Source organism: Homo sapiens, chromosome X (genome assembly GCF_000001405.40).
Source record: "Homo sapiens chromosome X, GRCh38.p14 Primary Assembly".
Classification (NCBI taxonomy): Eukaryota; Metazoa; Chordata; class Mammalia; order Primates; family Hominidae; genus Homo; species Homo sapiens.
In genome coordinates this window covers 46626985-46648604 of record NC_000023.11, presented here as the reverse complement: position 1 = coordinate 46648604, position 21620 = coordinate 46626985, and the positions used below count along the sequence as shown (strand labels likewise).

At 42.1% G+C, this 21620-nt stretch overlaps 1 protein-coding gene and 1 pseudogene across 10 annotated transcripts in view; both read left to right on the top strand.

Annotated features, from left to right (window-relative positions):
- Positions 1 to 21620, top strand: part of SLC9A7 (solute carrier family 9 member A7) — a 159868-nt gene that overhangs the window by 110514 nt on the left and 27734 nt on the right. For 7 of the 10 annotated variants that reach the window (XR_007068203.1, NM_032591.3, XM_017029905.2 and 4 more), the window contains exons 12-14: positions 5216 to 5369; positions 12957 to 13016; positions 16956 to 17019. Coding sequence is in view for 9 of the 10 variants with exons in the window: in NM_032591.3 (NP_115980.1) it covers positions 5216 to 5369; positions 12957 to 13016; positions 16956 to 17019 (278 nt within the window). In the remaining variant the exon portion in view is untranslated. The remainder of the gene's footprint in view (positions 1 to 5215; positions 5370 to 12956; positions 13017 to 16955; positions 17020 to 21620) is intronic. The other 3 variants (XM_047442581.1, XM_047442582.1, XM_017029906.3) reach the window with 1 other exon arrangement.
- PGAM1P7 (phosphoglycerate mutase 1 pseudogene 7) lies at positions 1267 to 2206 on the top strand (annotated as a pseudogene).

Here is a 21620-nt window from a genome sequence, read left to right as displayed (position 1 = left end):
ATAAAAAGACAAGCATTCAAGTTTCTGGTCCGTTTGTATCCCCTGCAGTGAGAAATAGACAGATGTACATGTTCAGTTGAGTTAGTGTTGATTTTGCAAACCGTACTACCAAATGTGAACATTCTCCCCTAAAATATTTGCATTTCTATTTCATCACTACCACTCAACGGACCTGGAGATATGGTGTTTAAAGTGCTTGATTGTTTTCTAGAAGATCTTCATAACCCTTAAGCTTCCTGAAGGGCACCAGCTCTAGAATTAGAAGGAAAAGAGCTCCTGATGAGAAAGACCACTGGCCAAGTCACTCAACACCTCCCAGCCGCAGTATCCTCCCTTGTAAAATAATGAAATTGAACTAATTAGCTGAGGTCCCCCAGCTCTAACTTTCTGTGGAGCAAAAGAAATAAAATACACTCATGTAAGCAAGAGGGACCCAACACTAGAATTTAATAACTGTGATCATCCTGCTTAATTGACACTGTCTCCCACATGCCCCCCTTTTCCCTGTAAAGCTGAGAAGTCTGGAGAAGCCACTGAGGGGACAAAGGACAATAAAGAAAGCTGTGGAAGTAGAGTAAGGAGAGAGCAACTGGCATGAGTGGATGATGCAGTGAGGGTGGTAAGCGTCAGCTTTATAGAAATGGACCCAAGTTAGAGCATTTCTGCAGAACAGAGGGAGGAGAAGTTAGTTGCAAAAGGCTACTGTGACCCTTAAAGGCACCTCTGTCCTTTAAGACAGAGAATGAGTTGCAGCCACCTTTACTGCCATGCAGTGGTCGTACTGAAATCAAACCAACAGGCACTGCTCAGTAAAGCAGTCATTTTATCTCATGCTAGCTTGCCTCTGAACTTAGATACAGGTACAGTCTTCTAAGATGATTTCCTTTTACTCTGACAAACATTTATTGAGCATCCTCTTTTCATAAGCCACAGCTCTAGGTTGTGGAGCATGCAAAGACCAGCCTCCTTCATGGAGCTCACAGTCCGCTGCGGGGAGGCAGGTACACAAAGAGTTAATTTTCTTCCAAGAGAGGTTGGTGAATTGCACAAAAGAGGTCTGAAAGAAATGTGAACAAGAAGAGAATGGCTCAGGGCCATCTTCACAAAGGGAGTGGCCTTTTAGCTAGGCTTGGAAGAATGGAATTTCAGGAGGCAGCAGTTTGGGAAGGCAGAAAAGCATTAGCATGCCTGGCTCGTTTAGGGAAGGGCAGCAGTCTGGTTTAAATGTCAGATACATGGAGTAATGCAGAAAGAGGGTGAGGTTGACCACCACTGCCGCCTACCAGCTGTTGCTGATCTGGCACGGTGAAAGTGCCTGGAACCTGGAGAACTGCTTCAGTGGCTGGAAGGACACCGCCCTGAGCCCGGGAGCCACAAGGAGGCGAAGTGTGGTGGACAGGCACTGCAAGATACTGGCTATAAGTTCAACATCTACTTCACATCAGTGCAGAAGAGAGCGATCTGGACCCTCTGGACAGTGCCAGATGCCACTGACCTGATGTGGCTGCCCGTAGTGAGGACTTGGCATCTTAATGAGTGGCACTCTGGTGGTCTGACCGACCTCCGTAAAGCAGAAACTGCTGCCAAGCATGGTAAAGATCTGGAGGCGCTCCTGTGATGTCCCACCACCTCTCATAGAGCCCGATCATCCCTTCTACAGCAGCATCAGTAAAGATCGCAGGTATGTACCCCTCACTGAAGATCAGCTACCCTCTTGTGAGGGTCTGAAGGACACTTCTGCCAGAGCTCTGCCCTTTGGAATGAAGAAATAGTTCCCCAGATTAAGGAGGGGAAATGGGTACTGATTACAGCCCATGGCAACAGCTTCCCCGGCATTGTCAAGCATCTGGAGGGTCTCTCTGCAGAGCAGAACCTGCTGACTGCTATTCTCGTTGTCTATGAATTGGACAAGAACTTGAAGCACATCAGGCGCATGCAGTTCCTGGGGGATGAAGAGACCGTGCATAAAGCCATGGAAGCTGTGGCTGCCCAGGATAAAGAAAAGAGGTAAAGGCCAGCGGACAGACTACTTTCGCCGGGAACACCTTCCCTGCCCGTCCCTTCCTCTGCCCCTCCCCACTACACATGTCACACTGACCACATCTGTAGGCATCTGAAGTTGTAGCTACAGATGAGTACCAGTGGCTCCCATTTTTCATTTCAGCCATTTTTCTCCTGCACCCACTGTCTTCACACAATCTAGACAAGATAGCATCTCCGGGGAGGGCACAGATTTTCAGTCCAAGCCCAGGGAAAACTCCCCTTATCCAAAAGAGTTGAGAGGTAGGGACTTGGGTTTTTACCAGGGCTTTGTGTACTGAGGACCTGCTTGAGTAGGAGATAGGGAGGAACCATGCTAAGGCATGGCCAATGAGGAGAAGCAAGAGAGCCTGTTTGCCCCCAGGAGCCAGTCCTGTGTTCTTCTGTAGTCAGGCTACTACCTGGAGGGCTCTAGTCATTCCAGTGGAAGATGAATGTAACCTGCATGGTGATGTAAAAAAACAAAAACAAAAACAAAAACAAAAAAAAACAGTTTCCTCCCTGACCCCAAAGGGGCTGGCTCTACTTGATGAGTGGGATCAATCCTGAATTAAGTTTCTGTTGCATTTATTTTACAAAAAAAAGTATATAAATAATACAAAACAAAAGTCCTTGTGGAGTTTCTAGTGGCAGTTGAAATAATCCCACGTGATCATCAGAAAATAAACCATTCCTTATACCAATATGGCATAAGCTCCTTGACTTGTAAGGGGTAGGAGTGCCTCCTGCTGTGTATTTTAGAATCCCTGCCCCGCCTTGTTTCATGGCAGTGAAGTGCCTCTTGATCACGTCCAAGTGTGTCTTTCACTGCCTGTTTTCTGAATCACGTTTTAGTTACTTGGCCATGCCACATGGGCCCAGTACTCATTTTGAGCATAACTGTACTAAATCTTTTTTCCAAATCAGTATAAGAAAGGAATGATATGCAAAAAAAAAAAAAAAAAAAGGGAGTGGGGAAAGAAGGTGAGGTTGGAAAGGAGAATTGTATCTAAACTCATAATTTTCACCGTTTAGGTTACATCAGAATTGCCCATTGGGCTTGTTAAAGTGCAGATTGCTGGGCCTCACTGTCTGATTCTGGGGATATGGAGTGGGCTCTTCTAACATTTCTGAGCTGCCACTGCTGCTGGTTTGAAAACCACACTTTGAGAACCACCACTGTAGGTAGAGTGGAGACCTCAGAGAAGCTCCAGTGCTGTGCCAAAGAGTTTGAGCTTCACTCAAGAGCAGCAGGGAGACATTCAGAGCTTGGTGAAGAGGACGGTGATAAGCTTCTATGTACATATTAGGAATATGCCAGTGGACAAGAGGAAGATTAGTTGGAGCTAACCCTGTCATCTAGGTCAACTTAAATATGCTCATTGGCTTCTGTACTAAAAAGCTGAGAAGTGCACAGTGCTGTTTAATGATATCTCCAATAAAAAATATTTTATGCTGGGAGAAATCTGCCTATCAAAAGGAACTCATTTGTCAAGGCTATGAAATACCTGAGGTTTCACTTTCATATTGCTTACCATGCTTACCTAATGAAATAAAGAAAAATGTATTATACTTGGTCTCTCTCTGATGCCCAAGTTTTCTTTGAGTCAGCATCCCTTGAGAGGCTTAAATGTTGACCAGTGACATAGCTGGCTGGCTGTAGGGTGACCTAGATGTGTATAAATATCTAGGACAGATTAATAGAAAACATCAACTTTGTTTTCAATGTAACTTTTATTGATGTCACTCTTCTTTAGTGAATTGTAGTGAAGTGCTCAGATTACATATATTAATAATTGTGAAATTGCAAAATAGAAAGATGTACAAACAGATATAGTAGGTCTAAGTTTTCATTCTCTCGCATGTTATACAGTCTTGCCCATGGTGAATAAAAATTAATGCTAGATATGTACTAAAGACTGTAGATTCAGTCTTTTTTTTTTTTTTTTGAGACACAGCCTTGCTCTGTCCTCCAGGCTGGAGTACAGTGGCACCATCTTGGCTCACTGCAACCTCCGCCTCCAGGATTCAAGTGATTCTCCCACCTCAGCCTCCCAAGTAGCAGAGGACTACAGGCACATGCCATCATGCCTGGCCAATTTTTGTATTTTTGGTAGAGATAGTGTTTCACCATGTTGGCCAGGCTGGTCTCAAACTCCTGAGCTCAGGTGATCCACCCACCTTGGCCTCCCAAAATGCTGGGATTATAGGTGTGAGCCACCACACCCGGCCAGATTCAGTCTTTACTATAAAATAAATTATGAGCGTGATATGGGAAAGGAACAAAAGAGCTTAGAAGGATGAACTCCAAAACATTAAACTGATGGTATTAATCTTAAATCCATTAATGCAGATCAGGTACCAGCAAACTACAACCCCTGGGCCAAATCTGGCCACTGCCTGTCTTCACATAGCCCGTGAGCTAAGAATGTCTTATACAGATGAATATTTGTACTCTATTTGATGTAGACAACACTGACTTTGAAACAACAGTTAAGCAAAATATCCCCTCCAGAAAGAATTTCCCTCTTTTCATTATTAGACCTGTATTACAACAAAGTGGCCTCAATTATTATTATTGATTTTTGATAGTAAACATTTGTGGAAATGTTCGTCCCTTTGATCTAAGTACCCACATAATATTCTTGATTTTGCCTCTTGGCCCACAAAACCTAAAATCTATAATATCTGGCCGGTTACAGAAAGAGTTGACCACCCCTGATGTAGATTGGGTTATGTTTTCACTTCTCTGTGTGGTTTCCCCTTTTGCTAAGGAAATGCTGAACTGTTTTCCACAAATTTGACATACTCGTACCTAGCCTGTTTTTTAAATTTATATTGACTGTGTAGTGCTTGGGTTGTGTTGGGATCACAGTTTTAGCTTATATTATTTTTTACTTATTTATATTTTACTTCATGTTACTAGCAGAATCATGTAAGTAATAGGAGTGTTATTATTCTGAAAAAGTGCTGTACAAAGCAGTACAATGCTTTTTCATTGTGTTGGGGAGTTTTGCAAAAGACAGCATCAAATAAAAGAAAATCATGCCTTTAAGGTTCTTCTTTCTGAGTAAAACAACTTGGCCCCTGAAGCATGAATGAATAGAGTTTATTAGCCCCAAATGGCAGCAGTGCATTTTGAGACAACATTGTCATTTAATCCTTATAAGTAGATCTTCTTCTTTGGTCCCCGCAGGCCTCAGGGGAGCAATGGCATTTGCGTTGGCCATCCGTGACACGGCATCCTATGCTCGCCAGATGATGTTCACGACCACCCTTCTCATTGTGTTCTTCACTGTCTGGATCATTGGAGGAGGCACGACACCCATGTTGTCATGGCTTAACATCAGGTTGGTTTGGAACCAAGGCTAATTGAGTATGTCAGTTGTCACCGTTCCTGAGAATGTTCAACAACCTGTGCAGGATGTGCTACTTTAGTTCATGGAAACCTTTTACAGTCTTTGGTTTTGTTTGTGAGGGGGGATTAACAATTTTTTTTAAAACAATAAGTAAAAGTTTGGAGTATGGGGTTTTCCAGGAGAAAAAATGTAGTCATTAAAAATTTTTGTCAGTGCAAACATACAAAGAATGAGAAGTGCCTGGATCTTGCTAGAACAGTGACATTAGAGCAAAAATTTAAAAAGTCTTAAAGCTGCGGGAGAGAAAATAGACCAAGAGCCCCTGGCAGAGTCCAGTATTTCATGTTCCTTTGAAATGAAATCCAGACTCTGAAGAATAAGCTCACCAGCCAGAAATAGAGGCAATTAGAGTTTTATTTTAGCATGAAGCTGTATGCTGTCTCTTCTTGCTTGAGTGTACAAAAGAGGTGACATTTCCTGGGTAACCCTCACCTGTTGCAGTTTCATGGATGTCCTCTGCCTGTGGCTTTGTAGCTGTGTCAGGACAGAAGGAGCACTGATACGAGTTTGACTTTTTCAAGAGCGCTTGAATTCCAAATTGTGTTTGTGAGCTCCAGCATCTTATGGTAAAGAGGTCACTGGAAATAAGGTTCAAGAGACCCACAGCCCAACTCTGGCTTGGGTTAAAGACAAGCCCCTCATGTCTTTGGGCCTCAGGTTTCCTCAGTGTTAAGTGAAGACACTCTGCCAGGTGATTTCAAGGGCACTTCAGCTGTAGGTGTCGTGCTGCACATCACTGGATGTGCTCTGGCCACTTGCCACAGTTTCAGGTCTGCAGAGGGTGACCGTGTTCTGGAACAAGAAGACACTTGGGTAGTGCAAAGGTGTGAATAAAAATTCTCTGAAAAGCCACAAGGTGGCAATGGTTTTTCTTTCTCTGCTGGCTTTTTTAGTTTGTATTCTCTAGACTGTAGAATGCCCGACACAGCTGCAGAGCGTACATAGCTTGGAGGAGAGAAAATGAACAGAGATCTCCCAGTCATCCTTGGGGTTGGGGGGAAGAAACTAAAATTTGAGAGAATCATCTCCTGTGTCTGGGGTTTTTGTATAGATGTTAGGCAGAGATTCCTGGGCTGCCACTTCTGCTGCCAGCCACTGCCACTTCCACTTCCACTGCCAGCTTCACCATTTCTGGGCTAGTGTATCTCTGCCTGAGATCCAGGTGGGTCTGCAGAACCAATATGGGGTTTATCAGTGTTAGTCATAATAATAAGTAACACTTACGTTGCAGGCATTGTTCCAGATACCATACATATATTAAGATAATTCTCATAACATTCTTATAAGGGAGATAGGACTATTATCTCAATTTTAGAGTTGGGGAAACTGAGGCACAAAGCAGTAATTTGCCCAAGGTCACAGAGCTTTAAGTGGACAAGCTAGGATTTGAACCTAGGCACTCATACCACAGAGTCCACACTCTTAACCACTGTGCTATACTGCCTGTAAGAAGAGTTATAAAATTTGGGAAGGTTAGAATTTCAGTTTCCTGGCATGAATCTCAAGGGTTGGATTAAGGAAAAGAATCCATCTTTGAGAATATAAACCTGAAGAAAATTTACAGTCTCTTACTTTTAAACTTAAGACATAAGATGGTACCATCTTTGTTCTATGTAGCAGAATTAGGGCAAGAAAAAAGGTTTACCCTCTACACAGTTGAGAATCTTTGCATTTGGTGACCTCTGAGATTACTTCCTGCTCCTGTTTGTCTGGTCACCTAGTAGATGCTCTGGATGCTCAGAGCCTCATTAAATCATGTTTGTTTTTCATGCTAGTTTATAAATCCTTTTCTCCCCCACCCCTCAAACATATACGGGACCAAATAATTTTCCATTGAGAGTAGAGAGTTGACTTTTGACATTTTGCTGTTGTAACTGCCTTGGAGATCCATGTAGGTTGTTCATGTATCAAGTTTGTTCTGTTTTATTGCAGAGTAGCATTCCAAGGTGGGCCTGCCACATTCCTCCTCTGGTCCCTGCTGCCTAATTAGTGGCTCCAGCCACTAATTTAACCATTTACCCCTCGAAGGACATTTGGATAGTTTCAAGTTTTAGGCTATTATAAATAAAGCCACTGTGAATATTCTTGTGTAGGTTTTTGCATGGGCATAAATTTTTACCTCTGCAAGATAGATGCCCAGGAGTGTGCCTTCTGTGTTGGATAGTAAACGTGTTTAGTTTTATAAGAAACTGCCAACTGTTTTCCAGAGTGGCTGTACCATTGTACATTCCCACCAGCAGTGTATGAGGGATCCAGTTTCTCAGCATCCCCCCCAGCATTTGGTATTGTCAGGGTATTTCATTTCAGCTGTTCCAATAGGTATGTGGGAATATCTCATTGTGGTCTTAATTTGCATTTCTCTCATAGATAATGATATTAAGCATGACTTCATGTGTTTATTTACCATTTATATGTCTTCTTTGGTGAAATATCTGTTCAAGTCTTTTGTCCATTTTTAAATTGGATTGTTTGTTTCTTTGTTGAGTTTTTAGAGTTCTTTATTCTAGACTGTAGTCTTTTGTCAGATACATGGTTTGCAAATATTTTTTCCCAGTGTGTAGCTTGTCTTTTAATCCTTTTAATAGGGTCTTTCATAGAGCAGAAGTTTTAATTTATAATTTATCATTTTTTTTCTTTTATGGGTCATGCATTTGGTATCATGTCTAAGGACTCCACCAAGCCTTAGGCCTGAAGATTTCTTCTGCGTTATCTTCTAAAAGCTTTTTAGTTTTACACTGTACATTTAAGTCTGTGATCCATTTTGAGTTAATTTTTATATAAGATGTGAGGTTTAGGTTGAGGTTTTATTTGCCAATGGCTATCCAGTTGTTCTAGCATAATATGTTAAAAAGACTATCCTACTCCATTGAATTAATTTTGCTCCTTTGTCAAAAATCAGTTGTCTCTATGCATGGGGGTGTCTTTCTGCACTGCTCTATTGGTTTATGTGTCTATCCTTCCAAGACCATACTGTCTTGATGACTATACTTACGCAGCAAACCTTAGCATCAGAGTGATTCCTCCCACTTTATTGTTATGGCTATTCTAGTTCCTTTCCATATAAATTTTGGAATAAATTTGTCTACATGTAAAAAAAATCTTGCTGGGTCTTTCATAGGAATTATGTTAAACCTTTACATTAATTTTTGGGGAGATTGACATCTTTATTATGTTGAATCTTCCAATCCATGAACATGATATATTTCTCCATTTATTTAGAACTTCTTTGATTTCTTTCATTCGATTTTTGCAGTTTTCAGCAACCAAGTCCTGTACATGTTTTGTTAGTACTTGTATCCTGTCACCTTACTGCTGAACTCACTTACTAGTTCTTTAGTTCTGAAAGTGTTTTGGTCCTTTTTTTTTTTTTTGGTAGATTCTTTTGAATTTTCTACATAGACCATATAGACCATCATGGTATTTGTAAATAGCCACAGTTTTTTTTTTTTCCTTCCTTTTCAACCAGTGTACCTTTTGTGTCCTTTTCTTGCCTTATTGCTCTGGTTAGGATTTTCACTACTATGTAGAATAAGAGTGGTATAAATGGACATCCTCATCTTGTTTCTGATCTTAAGAGGAAAGCATTTTCCAGGGACGGTGGCTCACATCTGTAATCCCAGCACTTTGGGAGGCTGAGGTGGGCGGATCACAAGGTCAGGAGTTCGAGACCAGCCTGACCAACATGGTGAAACCCTGTCTCTACTAAAAATACAAAAAATTAGCTTGGAGTGGTGGCAGGTGCCTGTAGTCCCAGCTACTTGGGAGGCTGAGGCGGGAGAATGGCGTGAACCCAGGAGGCAGAACTTGCAGTGAGCTGAGATCACGCCACTGCACTCCAGCCTGGGCGACAGAGCGAGACTCCATCTCAAAAAAAAAAAAAAAAAGAGGAAAGCATTCGGTCTTGCCTTATTAACTATAATATTAGCTATAGGGTTTTTGTAGATGTTCATCTTCAAGTTGAGGAAGTTCCTACCTATTGCTAGTTTTCTGAGAGTTTTTTTCATGAACAGGTATTGAATTTTATCAAATATTTTTTCTGTATCAATTGATATGATCATATGATTTTTCTTGTTTAGCCTATTAATATAGTGAATTACATTGATTACTTTTCAAATATTGAACCAGCCTTGTTTCTCTGAAATAAACCCCACTTGATGTGGTATATTATTCTTTTACATATTGCTGAATTATATGAGCAAACATTTTGTTAAGGATTTTTATGTCTGTATTCATGAGGGATATTGGTAGTAGTTTTTTTTTGTACTGCTTTTGTCTGTTTTTGGTATCAGAGTAATCTGGCCTCACAAAATGAGTTGGACATGTTCCTGACTCTTTTTTTTTCTGGAAGAGATTGTGTAGAATTGGTGTTAATTATTTTTCTTAAACTTTTGGTAGAATTCTCCAGTGAAACCATCTGGGCCTGGAGACTTCTTTTTTGGGAGTTTTTCAATTATGAAGCCAATTTCTTTATTAGTTATAGGGCTTTTCAGATGACCTATTTCATATTGGGTAAGTTGTGGTAATTTGTGAAATTGGTCAGTTTCATTTAAGTTGTCAAGTTTATGTTGTTTGTAGCATTCCCTTGTTATCCTTTTGATGTCTGTGGGGTCTATAGTGATATTCCATTTTTGATATATCTTCTCTGTTTTTGGTCGGTCTTGCTAGACATTTGCCAATTTTATTGATCTTTTCTAAAGAACCAGCTATTTATTTCATTGATTTTCTGTATTGTTTTTCTAATTTCATTTTAATTGATTTCTATCTTTATCAATTTCCTTCCTTCTGTCTGACTCTATCCAGACAGCATAATGCCATTACTGAAAAATATATATGTGTCAGCTCGTTGCATTTTTCCAGATGTGTATAAATAATGATTACATAAGTGTAGAAACTGACATTTACAGAGATTACATCAAAAGAAATTCCCTCTGAAATAAGGTAATAAAACAGATTAATTTTTCTGGCTTGTGGCTTGTGGTGTGATGGCCATGAATCATTTCTGTAACCCAGGTTCTTATTCTAAATTGATTCAGAAACCCCCTGAAATTCAGTTTGGCATTTTGACCCCTGTGACCTCGATATGATCAGCACTGACTCATTCTTTACTTCTCCAGGCTACTGATAGAGGCCCTGATGAGCTGTTAAGTAGCTGCCCAGAAGTCAGAAGCCCAGGGTGGTTCTTGGAGTTCACCATAAATAGGAGTTAGCTGTGTTTCTTACTATGGCTAATTTCAAGTCTGTGTATAAAATAAAAATGAATATAACTATAAATCCAAAGCCAGGTCACTGCTTTCCATAAATCCAATTTATCTTTTTACATTGGTGTTTTGTGATTGATATTTTAAAACATAATGGCAAAATGTGCAAATTGCTTTCTGTTGAAACATAATATTTTTCTCAGTCTCTTGAGTAAGAGTTGTTATTGACAAAGGACATAATTTTGGCAACTTAAAAAATGATGGTGGGATTATTTTGCCTGATGAGCCTGTGTGTGTCCTGACCACATTGTGACAGCATGGTGGCCGTCTTCTAGGAGCCGTCAGCTTCAAGTAACACACACGAAATGGTGGAGATAGTGGGTTGGGGGGGCGGTGGAACGACATACACCCAGGTGGCCAAATGAACTGTAACTTTCACATTCCAGGGTGTAGTAATATAATCCTTCAAGGACAAGTAAGAATGCTCTACTTGGCATAATCCTGTTAGACTGAGAATTTATAATAAAGCTCTTTGCAAGATAACATAAGGAATAAAGGCAGGGAGAAGCCCTGAGCTCTTTATGTAATAACATTTGCAACTGGATATTTTAAAAGAACTTAAATATGCCTCCTTGGAATCAAAGGCAGTATCCTATAAGAGGAAGAGCTGAGGCTCTGGAGACGAGCAGCTTGAGTTGGAATCTTGGCTCTACCATTTCTACCTTTGTGACCTTGGGCAACTTATTTCACCTGTATCCCTCAGTTTCCTCACTGATTAAATGGGGACAGTCATAGTGTGAGGATAAAATGTGGTAATAAATAATGCAATGAAAAATTCTCTCATCAATGTATCATCTGACACATAAGCACTTAGTATATTTTAGCTGTTATATTAATAGTATTAATCATAGCATTACAGCTGCTACTATTATTAATACTATTTCTCAAGAGACAATGAATCTTACATTAAGGAATCTGGCTTGTTTTTCTGGTGTTTGCTATAATTTTTCGATGTTGTAGTAATAGAGTCTGATTTAAGTCACATTCTGAACATGTAACTAATTAAAAGTACCACCTTAAGAAGCATCGTGTCCTCACTTGCATATGTCAGGGAATATTAATAACATGAGAATTTGGGCATTGTCTAGTGAAGTAGTTCTCAATCTTTTTTTCGTTATTGCCGCTGCTGAGGAGCCTTTAAAAACTTTTTCCTCAGTTACCTCCCCCAGTGAAATTTGAATATCACAGATCTGCTATGCATCTCTGTCTGTGCTGTGGCACTTTGGAGGGTTACAAACCATCATAATATCTGAGTGGTTTTTTTTTTTTAACCTACAAGAACCAATTTTTATACCCATGAGGGTGATACTGCCTCCATTGAGAAAACGTGGTTCAGTGCAGTGATTTTTCAACTGAGGGCAATTTTGCCGCCCAGGGGACATTTATTTGGCAGTATCTGGAGATGTTTTTAGTTGGCCACAACCAGAGGAAGGGGTCAAAACCTCAGCTTCTTGGTGGGTGGGGTTGCTACTAGTATCTTGTGGGTGAAAGCCGGAGACTCTGTTAAACATCTTACAGTGAGTGCACCATGCGGGTCACCACAACAGAGAATTATCTGACCCAAAATGTCAATGCTGCCGAGTTTACGAAACCCTGCTCCAACATGATGGTAAGATTCAAATGCACTCTAAGTAACCCAGAAATTATTAAGGAAGGTGAAGGTGGACCATGTCAATTCAAAAGGCTACAAGCTAAAGAGAATAGCAGAAGTTGGGTTGCCGACTTTCAGGTTGATCCTATGTACAACATGGTGTGCTTGTCTGGAAAAAAAGGCCATCTTTGTCTTCTTAAGTATTGTTGCTGTTTTTCAATAATATCATGCTTTTTGTTCTTTCTGTCAAATATGTGTAAAAATATGTGTAAACACTTTAAATATGTGTAACATATTTAAGCAACAATTTCTTTTTTCTATTTTTGGTATCTTTATAAACAAATGAATTTCTGAAAAAATTATGTAAATTTGTTTTCTATGAGGTGTATTTCATCCTCTGATTTTATTACATTATATTTTGAGGGGCTCATCCTCATTCCTGATCAATCCTCATTTGACCTGGCTCTTGACATTGTTGCCTTAAATTTAAATTTAGTGGCCTCTCAGCCTCTCTGGGTTTTAGAGGATGGGGACAGTTTAAGAGAAGATATGGATTCATATTGAAAGTGAAAAATATTCTCTGGTGGACATGGTCCAGATCATTTGCCCAGAGCTCCTGGCTCTCCTGTTGTCCCTGTCACACTCACGTTCCCTTCTTCTGCTGCCCAGAGTTGGCGTCGAGGAGCCCTCCGAAGAGGACCAGAATGAACACCACTGGCAGTACTTCAGGTGACACAAGGGCATCCTCAGAAAAAATTAACTGGGCCTGGCTTTTCTCCTCTTTCTAACCTCAGATATTTCTCTTTACACTATTTTTCTCTTCCTTCCTGCGTGTGCCAACCCCCACTTTTAGTAAAGGTGCAAAAGGTTGAGTCAATTCTAATCATTTTTTCCACCCCTCCTCTGGGTTGATTGATGTGTCAGTGTTCTTGGGATTCTGTCTGCTTTCCCCACATTTAGGCAATGTATTGCCAACATAAAGCCTGAGTTGTCAAGTGTCTCCTTTTCGTACAACTGAGCTTAGTGTTAAGAGCAGCTCACTTTCAGAGCCACACTTTTCCCACAAAATCCTGCTTGTGATCTAGTAAATAAGGCTCTTAATTCATAAAGAGAACTAGAATTTTCATATTTCAACCATGACTGGGGTAAGGCTTACACCATCTTAGTTAAATACCACTGCTATTATAGTTTTTCAAAATACATATTTGTGTACTTGTGCCTTGTCATGGTGAACCAGAAGATATGAAGAATGTTTAACCAAAAAGATAAAGATTCCTCTAATGCAGTTTGTTTCTTGTATCCTTCCAAGTTTATGATATAACTATGCTTAAGGGTGGTGATGTCTGGGCAAGCAAAGTACAAACTTTAATGTTTCTTCTTTCCTTTCTGTTTCTCTAATTGGCATGTTTTCTTCCTGATCTGATTCTCGGTGCTGATAGATAAATCAAATGCAAAATAGGCTTCAACTCTGTTCTCGGCACTGTGAGAATATCTCACTTCCTTGAGGGCAGTGGTGAAAGCAGTGGGACATGGGTCTTGGGATATCACTAGGCCCCGTATGTGTACTGTAATGACTCACATGAAATTACTTTAAGTATTTAAGCTCACTGAAATCACACTTTTTTCTACACACACATGTTCATTTTTGGAGACTGACTTTGATACCAGCTAAATTGCAGAGGAAACCCTTTCCTTTGAAGCATGCCTTCAAGAAGGAAAGTCCTTCAGGCAAAGTGTAAGTTATTAGACTTGGGACATGAGCAAATTCAGATTATGATATGGTGTTCAAGGTGTTATATGAAGATGTGTGTCTCATATTCCTCAAATTATTCAAAACCTTGACCATTCAGGGTTTTTTTTTTAGAAAAAATTATTAATTAACATGGAATACTTCTAAACTTTCCGAGATTTTATGGCATTTTATCTGTTAATCAGAATGGACAAATTATACCAGCAGAGAAATTATCAATGATATTATCAATATCATTCTGGTATTTATTCATTCCAGAATGAGCACATCAGTTTGCTTGCTTTATTTATTCATTTAGTGTGGGATGTCCACATTTATCTAATTCCTAATGAAAATAAAGATAATTCTGCCCATTCTGGAAGAAAAGGCTGTCATTTGTGTTCTTATGAGCTTAGCCCTGATGTATCAGGGGAATGCTAAAATAAGATATAATAAAACAGCATAAAAAAGTTCCAGTGTCCTGGATCAAAAGCGTTATACCAGGTCAGGAGAGAGATACATAAAGTGGACAGTGACCTGGCACTAGGAATTTCAGAAAGTTGGGGGACCCTAAAGTCTTCTGAGGCTTTAAACCTGCAATTAAAATCCTGTACCTGGGCCGGGCATGGTGGCTCACGCCTGTAATCCCAGCACTTTGGGAGGCCGAGGTGGGCAGATCACCTGAAGTCAGGAGTTCGAGACCAGCCTGGCCAACATGGTGAAACACCGTCTCTACTAAAAATACAAAAATTAGCCAGGCATGGTGGTACCTGCCTGTAGTCCCAGCTGCTCGGGAGGCTGAGTCAGGGGAATCACTTGAACCCGGGAGATGGAGGTTGCAGTGAGCTAAGATCACACCAGTGCACTCCATCCTGGGTGACAGAGTGAGACTCCGTCTCAAAAAAATTCACCAAAAAAAAAAAAAAAAAAATCCTGTGCCTGTTCTTTCTTGCTGCCCAGTTCCACACCAAAACACCCTGGCCCATTGCTTTACCTCCTCTTCCCAGAGATCAGTTTGGTTCTGGGCTCTGCCCCAAGGGTGGGGCTCTTTGTAGGAAGCCACAAGGTCCCGTGTCATCCTTGGGGATTGGTCCAAGAGGCCCTCAACCCTGCCAGAAAAGTAATTACTAAATCGCCCTAAAGTAAACAACCTTGAATAGGGGAAAAAAAGTGCAAAACATTATTTGTGTCTCACGGCCCCGATCTGTTTTTTTTTTTTTTTTTTTTTTTTTTTTTTTTTTTTTTTTTTTTTAGCAGCAGCAAGCTGAGAAGCAGCTCTTTGTTTCCTTTCTTAGAAATCTCCTGTTCTGCACTTATATCAGTAGCAAGGCCCTCCAAGAGACCCCAAGGGCCTTCCCACACTCCTCTGTCTGTGGCAGGGCCCAGGAGGTTCTTTTAGACTCTCTGCTGTCAGGAGTTTGGGCTGCATTTCATACTTGGTTGATATCAAGTGGCTGCCGTGAAGGTCGGAACTTCCATGGCAGATATAGGATTTTCCTGGCATCTTTTTTCTTTCCCCCATTGCCCAGTGTTATCCATGTCATCCATGGCACAGTATCCTGCCTCAGAATGAGGAAGGTGCAAGGATAAAAAAAAAAATTGCCAGATGCATAGAGTGCCAGTTAGTATGTTTCTAAGCCAAGACAACTGCCCTGGTGCTTTTATAGTATTTGTTATAAATGAGTCCTGCCATTTTGCTTTTTCTTTCTGTCTTTAGTTGTTGCTCTCAAATGTGTGAGTTCTCAAGGCTATCTTGATGCAAGAGGGTATAGGGGCACCAGGATTGAAAGCAGGTCAGGACTCTAATTAATGATATTGTTAAAGAAAACATTATTCTGATGTATATTTAAACAGTAAGGCAGACGTTGTTCAGGACCATCACGATTGGAATAGGGACCACTGTGATGGGGTTTTGCAGCAGGGGAGAGAAACGGGTCAGTGGATAGGGAAGTACTGAGAGGAAATATCAGGGGCAAGGGGGATTCTGGCTAAACTGACCCAATAGGATTCTTGCTGAAGACAGGCGAAGGGGATTAGACACCACCTGAGGGATTGTGGGGGGATGAAGAATCCAATCAGATGTTGGGGATAGGCCATTCAGATGTTGGGCTGTGGCCAAACCAACTTAGACAATCAGACATCACCTGAGGGATTGTGGGGGGATGAAGAACCCAATCAGATGTTCGGTTCTGGCCAAACCAACTTAGCAAACCTCTTGCTAAAATTGGGCTATGCTGAGATGGACATGGAAGCCCAAAAGTCAGTGCCTAGTTGGGAAGTGAATTCCTAGGAGCCTGACTAAAGTTTGGTCAAGGAGAGACTCTTTGTCAATATGCACGTGAAGTATTTAGGGGAAGTATTCTGATGTCTGCAACTTTATCTGAATGTATCCAAAGAAAAAGTAAGATGGGTGATAGAGAAATGGATAGATAGGTAATAAGGAATATACAGTAAAATGTTAATGGTAGAGTCTAGTGATGGTGGGTATATAGGGGTTCACTCTAAAGTCTTTCAACATCTCCCTGTATATTTGAAAAAGTTTATAACAGAATGTTAGAGAAATTAAAGCAGGCCAGGGCAGAAGTGAGGAAGCAGCACAAAGGAAGGGCCCAGTGCAGTGAGACCCCCATTTTGATAACTGGGACCACCTGGTGCAGAAAAGCAAGTGGACAGTTGCCAGCATGTGTTGTGTTCCGGCGGCCTTGCTTAGAGTGTGAGCACATGGGATTCATCGCCCCTCTGACCCTCTGGGATCTGAAGTGGTATGCGACCTCTTTCTTATGACTTCTGCATGACAGCTTTCCTCACCTTTTAGCTAACCACTCCTTATGCTTCGGGAAGATGATTAGCCTCCAGGCTACTTGCAGCCTGCATGGCTACCATGGGCCAAGCTAATACGCTCTGTTTTTCTCTTTGTCTTTCTCCCTGGTGACTTTCAGAGTTGGTGTTGACCCCGATCAAGACCCACCACCCAACAACGACAGCTTTCAAGTCTTACAAGGGGTAAGTCACAAGAGATGCTTCTTCCTGGGGAAGACATTTGAGCATTCGCCACATGCCAGGCACTTTACCTAGATTCCCTCAATGTGATCCTGACAACAGCCTTATGAAGCGTGTACTGCTCTCCCCATTTTACAGATTAAAAGTTGAAGTTTGGGAGTTTGAGTCATCTCAGAATAAGTGATGGAGCCAGGATTTGTCCCCAGGGTATGTGTTCTTAATCAACATTATGAAGGGTGTGGGCTCGCCAGAAAGAGTCCCTGACTCTCCACTTTTCAATAGTGGATATTGGTTCTACAACTGGTTCCGAGTCTATCAGTGGTGCCCAGGAGAAAGAGAGCAATACGATTTGACTCTCCAGCCCAGGGATCTGAGGAAGAAAGGAGAGACATCAGGTGCCTGAAGGCATTCCTGTTTCTCCAGGGCCTGGGATCCTCTAGGTGAGCAATTTGGAAAGGGCATAGCAGGGACGGCTTGCCTTTTCTCCATGAAGTCCACGGCCCCAGGTGGGAAAACCAGGAGCCTGGGGCTGGAATCATGCAAAGGTTCATTTACTCATATGTCTGGCACCTGGGCTGGAAGGACCCAACCACAAGGACTTCTGACAGGAATGTCTGTGCAGGGCTTTTCCATGTGGCCTGAGCTGCCTGCCAGCATGGTGGCTGCTGGGTAGTTGGATTTCTTATGTGATGGCTTAAGGTTCCAAAAGCAAGTGTCCCAGCAAGCAAGGTAGAGGCTATATCACCTTTTCTGACCTAATCTTGCAAGTTCTACAGCATCACTTCCGTGGCTTTCTATTGCTTAGAAATGCATTCCTAAGACCAGCCCAGACCCAATGGGAGGGGATAGAGACCATAACCTCTGGATGGGAAGAGTATCAACAAATTTACAGACAAGAATTGAGGTTGCCATATCATCCCTGTTGTGCAGCTGTCGGGATGATTTTGTCTCTAGGTCTGGCTCTTTATCCAGGTCAGCATGACCTGGGCAGGCAAGGTGGGGAAAGGAGAGTTATGATAGGGGCAGAAATGTGTTACCAATATATTATTTGACCTTGGGAGTCAATAACTATGTCGTTCAGCATTGAATGCCCAGTGCTGAGCACAGTGGCTGGCACATGCAGGAACCTGATAGGTGTTTGTTGGGTGGATGAGGGAATGAGAGAGATGCAGCATGCAACAGGCAGCTTTACTGACCACCTGTGTATGTTGTCCATGAAACCCTATTCTTTTTTTTCCAGTCAGCTTTGAATCTGACTCATCATTGCACTTAATCCTGCAGCAGTCTGCAGCAGACTTCACATTCCATAGGATCTTCTAAATGATTCCATCTACCAAATCAGATTTAATAAGGCTGGCAAAATGTGGTGCTGTGTGGGGTCAATGGGGTGCCACTGTGGCCTTTTGTGGTTTCTTTCTCTTTAAGGGTGGCCACAGCCTGATAAGGCATTTATAGCATTGATGTCCATTCTAGGTCCCTGCTCAAGGGACACAAAGCCATGACCTGGAAAGTTCTGGACATTTTGGGAAGAGTTTTCAATAAGCTTCATTGGAGATTTGGCACCCACTTTAATGAGCTCCAGAAGACCTTTGAGATGATCTTAGAATTGGCCATTATGTCAGTTGGGAGCATGTGGTCTCAGTGAGTTCTCTTTGAAAATTTGCTATTTGACTCTAGCTTTGATTAAGGACTTTAGAAAACAGGAGTTCAGGAACTGAGCACCTCGAGGCTAATTTAGAGTATAACAGTTTGGGAGATCTTGAAACTCAGCCTGAGAAAACCCCAGGGGAAAACATGATGGCCGTCCTTATTTCACCAAAGGAAAGATAATGGCTCTGGTAGGACATGGCTGCCCTATTCTAAAGCATCCTCCACAGAACTGTGGCCAGTCTAGATTAATTTTGTAAGAAAAAAAGGCCAATAGCAGCTGGATCATAAGATTTGGAGAGATTTCATCTTGCTCTGGACCATTCAAAACATCCCCACCCCCTTTGCTGTTTCCCATTGCTCCTACCTCTGCATTCAAGCATCTGTAACAGGAAATAAGTGAAAGGATTTGGCTGGTCATGTAGTAGAACTTACTATGTATCACATGAGCCCTGCGCACTGGGAACACTGGGCTTGTAATTAGATTCAGTAACAAGCTTACTGTCACTTTTCTGTGGAAATGTTTGAGTGAGAAAGCAGCAGGTCCAAAGTGCTGAGGGTTCTTGTATTTAGTCCATGCAGTAACAGCTAAAATAGCCCCCACCCCCAGGTGGAGTGAGTCTCAGGAACCTCCCTGGATGGGCCTGGATGGATGAACTCAGTGTTCCTGTCAGCTCCCAGAGGGCCCCTTGGGCTGAGAGCACCGCACATGTGGTGTTGTGAACGGGCTGGCAGCCACTCGCGCTGCACTCCTAATGGCACCCTGTTTGCCACAGCCCTAGCCAGAAGCTGTGTCACAGCTTCCCCCTGACCTCCTTCCTTCCAGACCTCATACACAGTCATGCAGAGGGCCCCTCAAAGTCAGTTCCACTGACCTTTTGAAAGGTTTTCAAGATTGCTGTCATATGGGGAAAAACATGCAAACTTCAAGCTTGGTTCTCCAGGACACCCTCTTAGAAATGACTCACGCCCTTGTGCAGAGAGGACCTTATTTCTCCAGTTCCTCCTGGTCTGACCTCCTCATTCTAGTGAGCCACTAACAGCAGGGCTCAGTGCACTCTGTGGCCATGAGAAACAGGAAAACAGAAATAAATGGGCTTCTCATTTTTGGGTGAAACCCTGGGTTCTTGCAGTTTCCCCTGAAATAGATCCAGGTCACATGCTCAGTGTTGTCATGAAACTGAAATCAGAGGTAGGGAAAGTCCAGATGTTTGTTCTCCACCAGAGAAAAAAAAGGGCGGTTCTCTTTACCTCATTTTCTAAATAATCTTCCTAAAAACAACAAACAAAAAAGTGACATTTGATGGGAAGGCATGTCTTATAATGAGCACAATTCTCCTCACTGGTCTTGAAGCCCAAGGCTATAAACAGAGTCATGGCTAGGGAGCTACAGAATATTAGCTCATGTGGGAAAAGGAAGGGAGCTGTTGGCTAGAACTTTGCTTCATGTGGGGAAAGCATAAAAATATTGTGGGCAGACTTCAGCTTTGTGTCCCCTGGTAAGTTTGACTCATTAGAACAAAACAAGACAAAAAAAACAAAAAACAAAAAACAAAACTCAGTGCTTTGTTTCTCTGGAGGTCTTGGTGACTTTGCAACCAAAACAAAAACAACCCTAGCTGGAGGCAAGCTGCCCAGCCCTGGGGGTGGCCTCCCACCCCGATAAAGCAGGGGACTTTTCATGCCAGACCAGACAGCTGAGATTTCTGTTGGCCGTACATGCAGACACATCATTCACTTCCTTCCCTGAGTTTACAGAAGAGCACTCATTGATGAGGCCACTTTGGAGCAGCTAAGAGTGTGAATCTGAATTTATCCCAGTTTCACCATATCAACAGGACAAGGTCACAAGCCGGATATTAATGGAGTGTGGAGGAAAGGAAACCACCAATGCCTGTGTATATGCACACGTGTGTGCGTGTCTGTCTGTGTGTATGTAGTGAAAACTGTAGAAAATCAGCAGTTTATTGTTGCGTTCACATATGACTTTCTGAGCAAGTTAGAATCATTTGTTTCTGGGTCCTCCGTGTTTTTTTTTGTTTGTTTTTGTTTCTCCAGGCTGAAATCTGATACCCGTAAATCTGTCACCTAAATCTTTAACTTCAAACAGTTGCAGAGGTGCCTTTCCTCCAGTTGCTACTCTGTGACCACCGCCCCCCCCCCAACCCGCCCATTTTTTTGTGCTTCCAAGTGCCTCCCTTGGCCCCTGATTTCCCTTTCTGCTCTTCCTTTTCTGTTTTCTAAAAACTCAGAGTCAAGATCAATTTATTCATTTATTTGACAAATAGTTATTGAGCACCTGTTCTATTTCAGGCATTCTTTCAGGTTCTGGGAAAATATCTGCAACAAGGTAGATGAATCTGCATCCTGAAGGGCTTGGTGACAAGGTGATAAAGGGTGAGGGTGGAGAGTGGCAGAAGCAAGAGAGTGGAGACACTCAGGCCTCACCAGCCCCACTGAAGCAGAATCTGCATTTTAACAGTGTCTCCAGGGAATGTGTGTACATTTTACCATTAGAAAAGCCCTGATCTAGGCAATGTATAGCTCTGGAGAGTTTTAAGCAGGGAAGAAAACTATCTGTGTATCACGGTCAGAGATTTGACTCTGGTTTTTTTTTTGTTTTGTTTTGAGACAGGGTTTCCCTCTGACGCCAAGGCTGGAGTGCAGTGGTGCAATCACAGCTCATTGCAGCCTTGACCTCTTGGGCCCGAGGGATCCTCCTCCCTCGGCCTCCTGAGTAGCTAGGACCACAGGTGTGTGCCACTTCACCAAGCTAATTTATAAAATATTTTTCTAGAGACAGGGTCTTGCTTTGTTGCACAGGCTGGTCTCAAACTCCTGGGCTCAAGTGATCTTAACCCTCCCAAAGTGCAGGGATTACAGGCATGAGCCCACTGCCTGGCTGATTCCCTGTTTCTAAACCCTATTATTACCCTCTGCTGAGAAATCTTGGATCC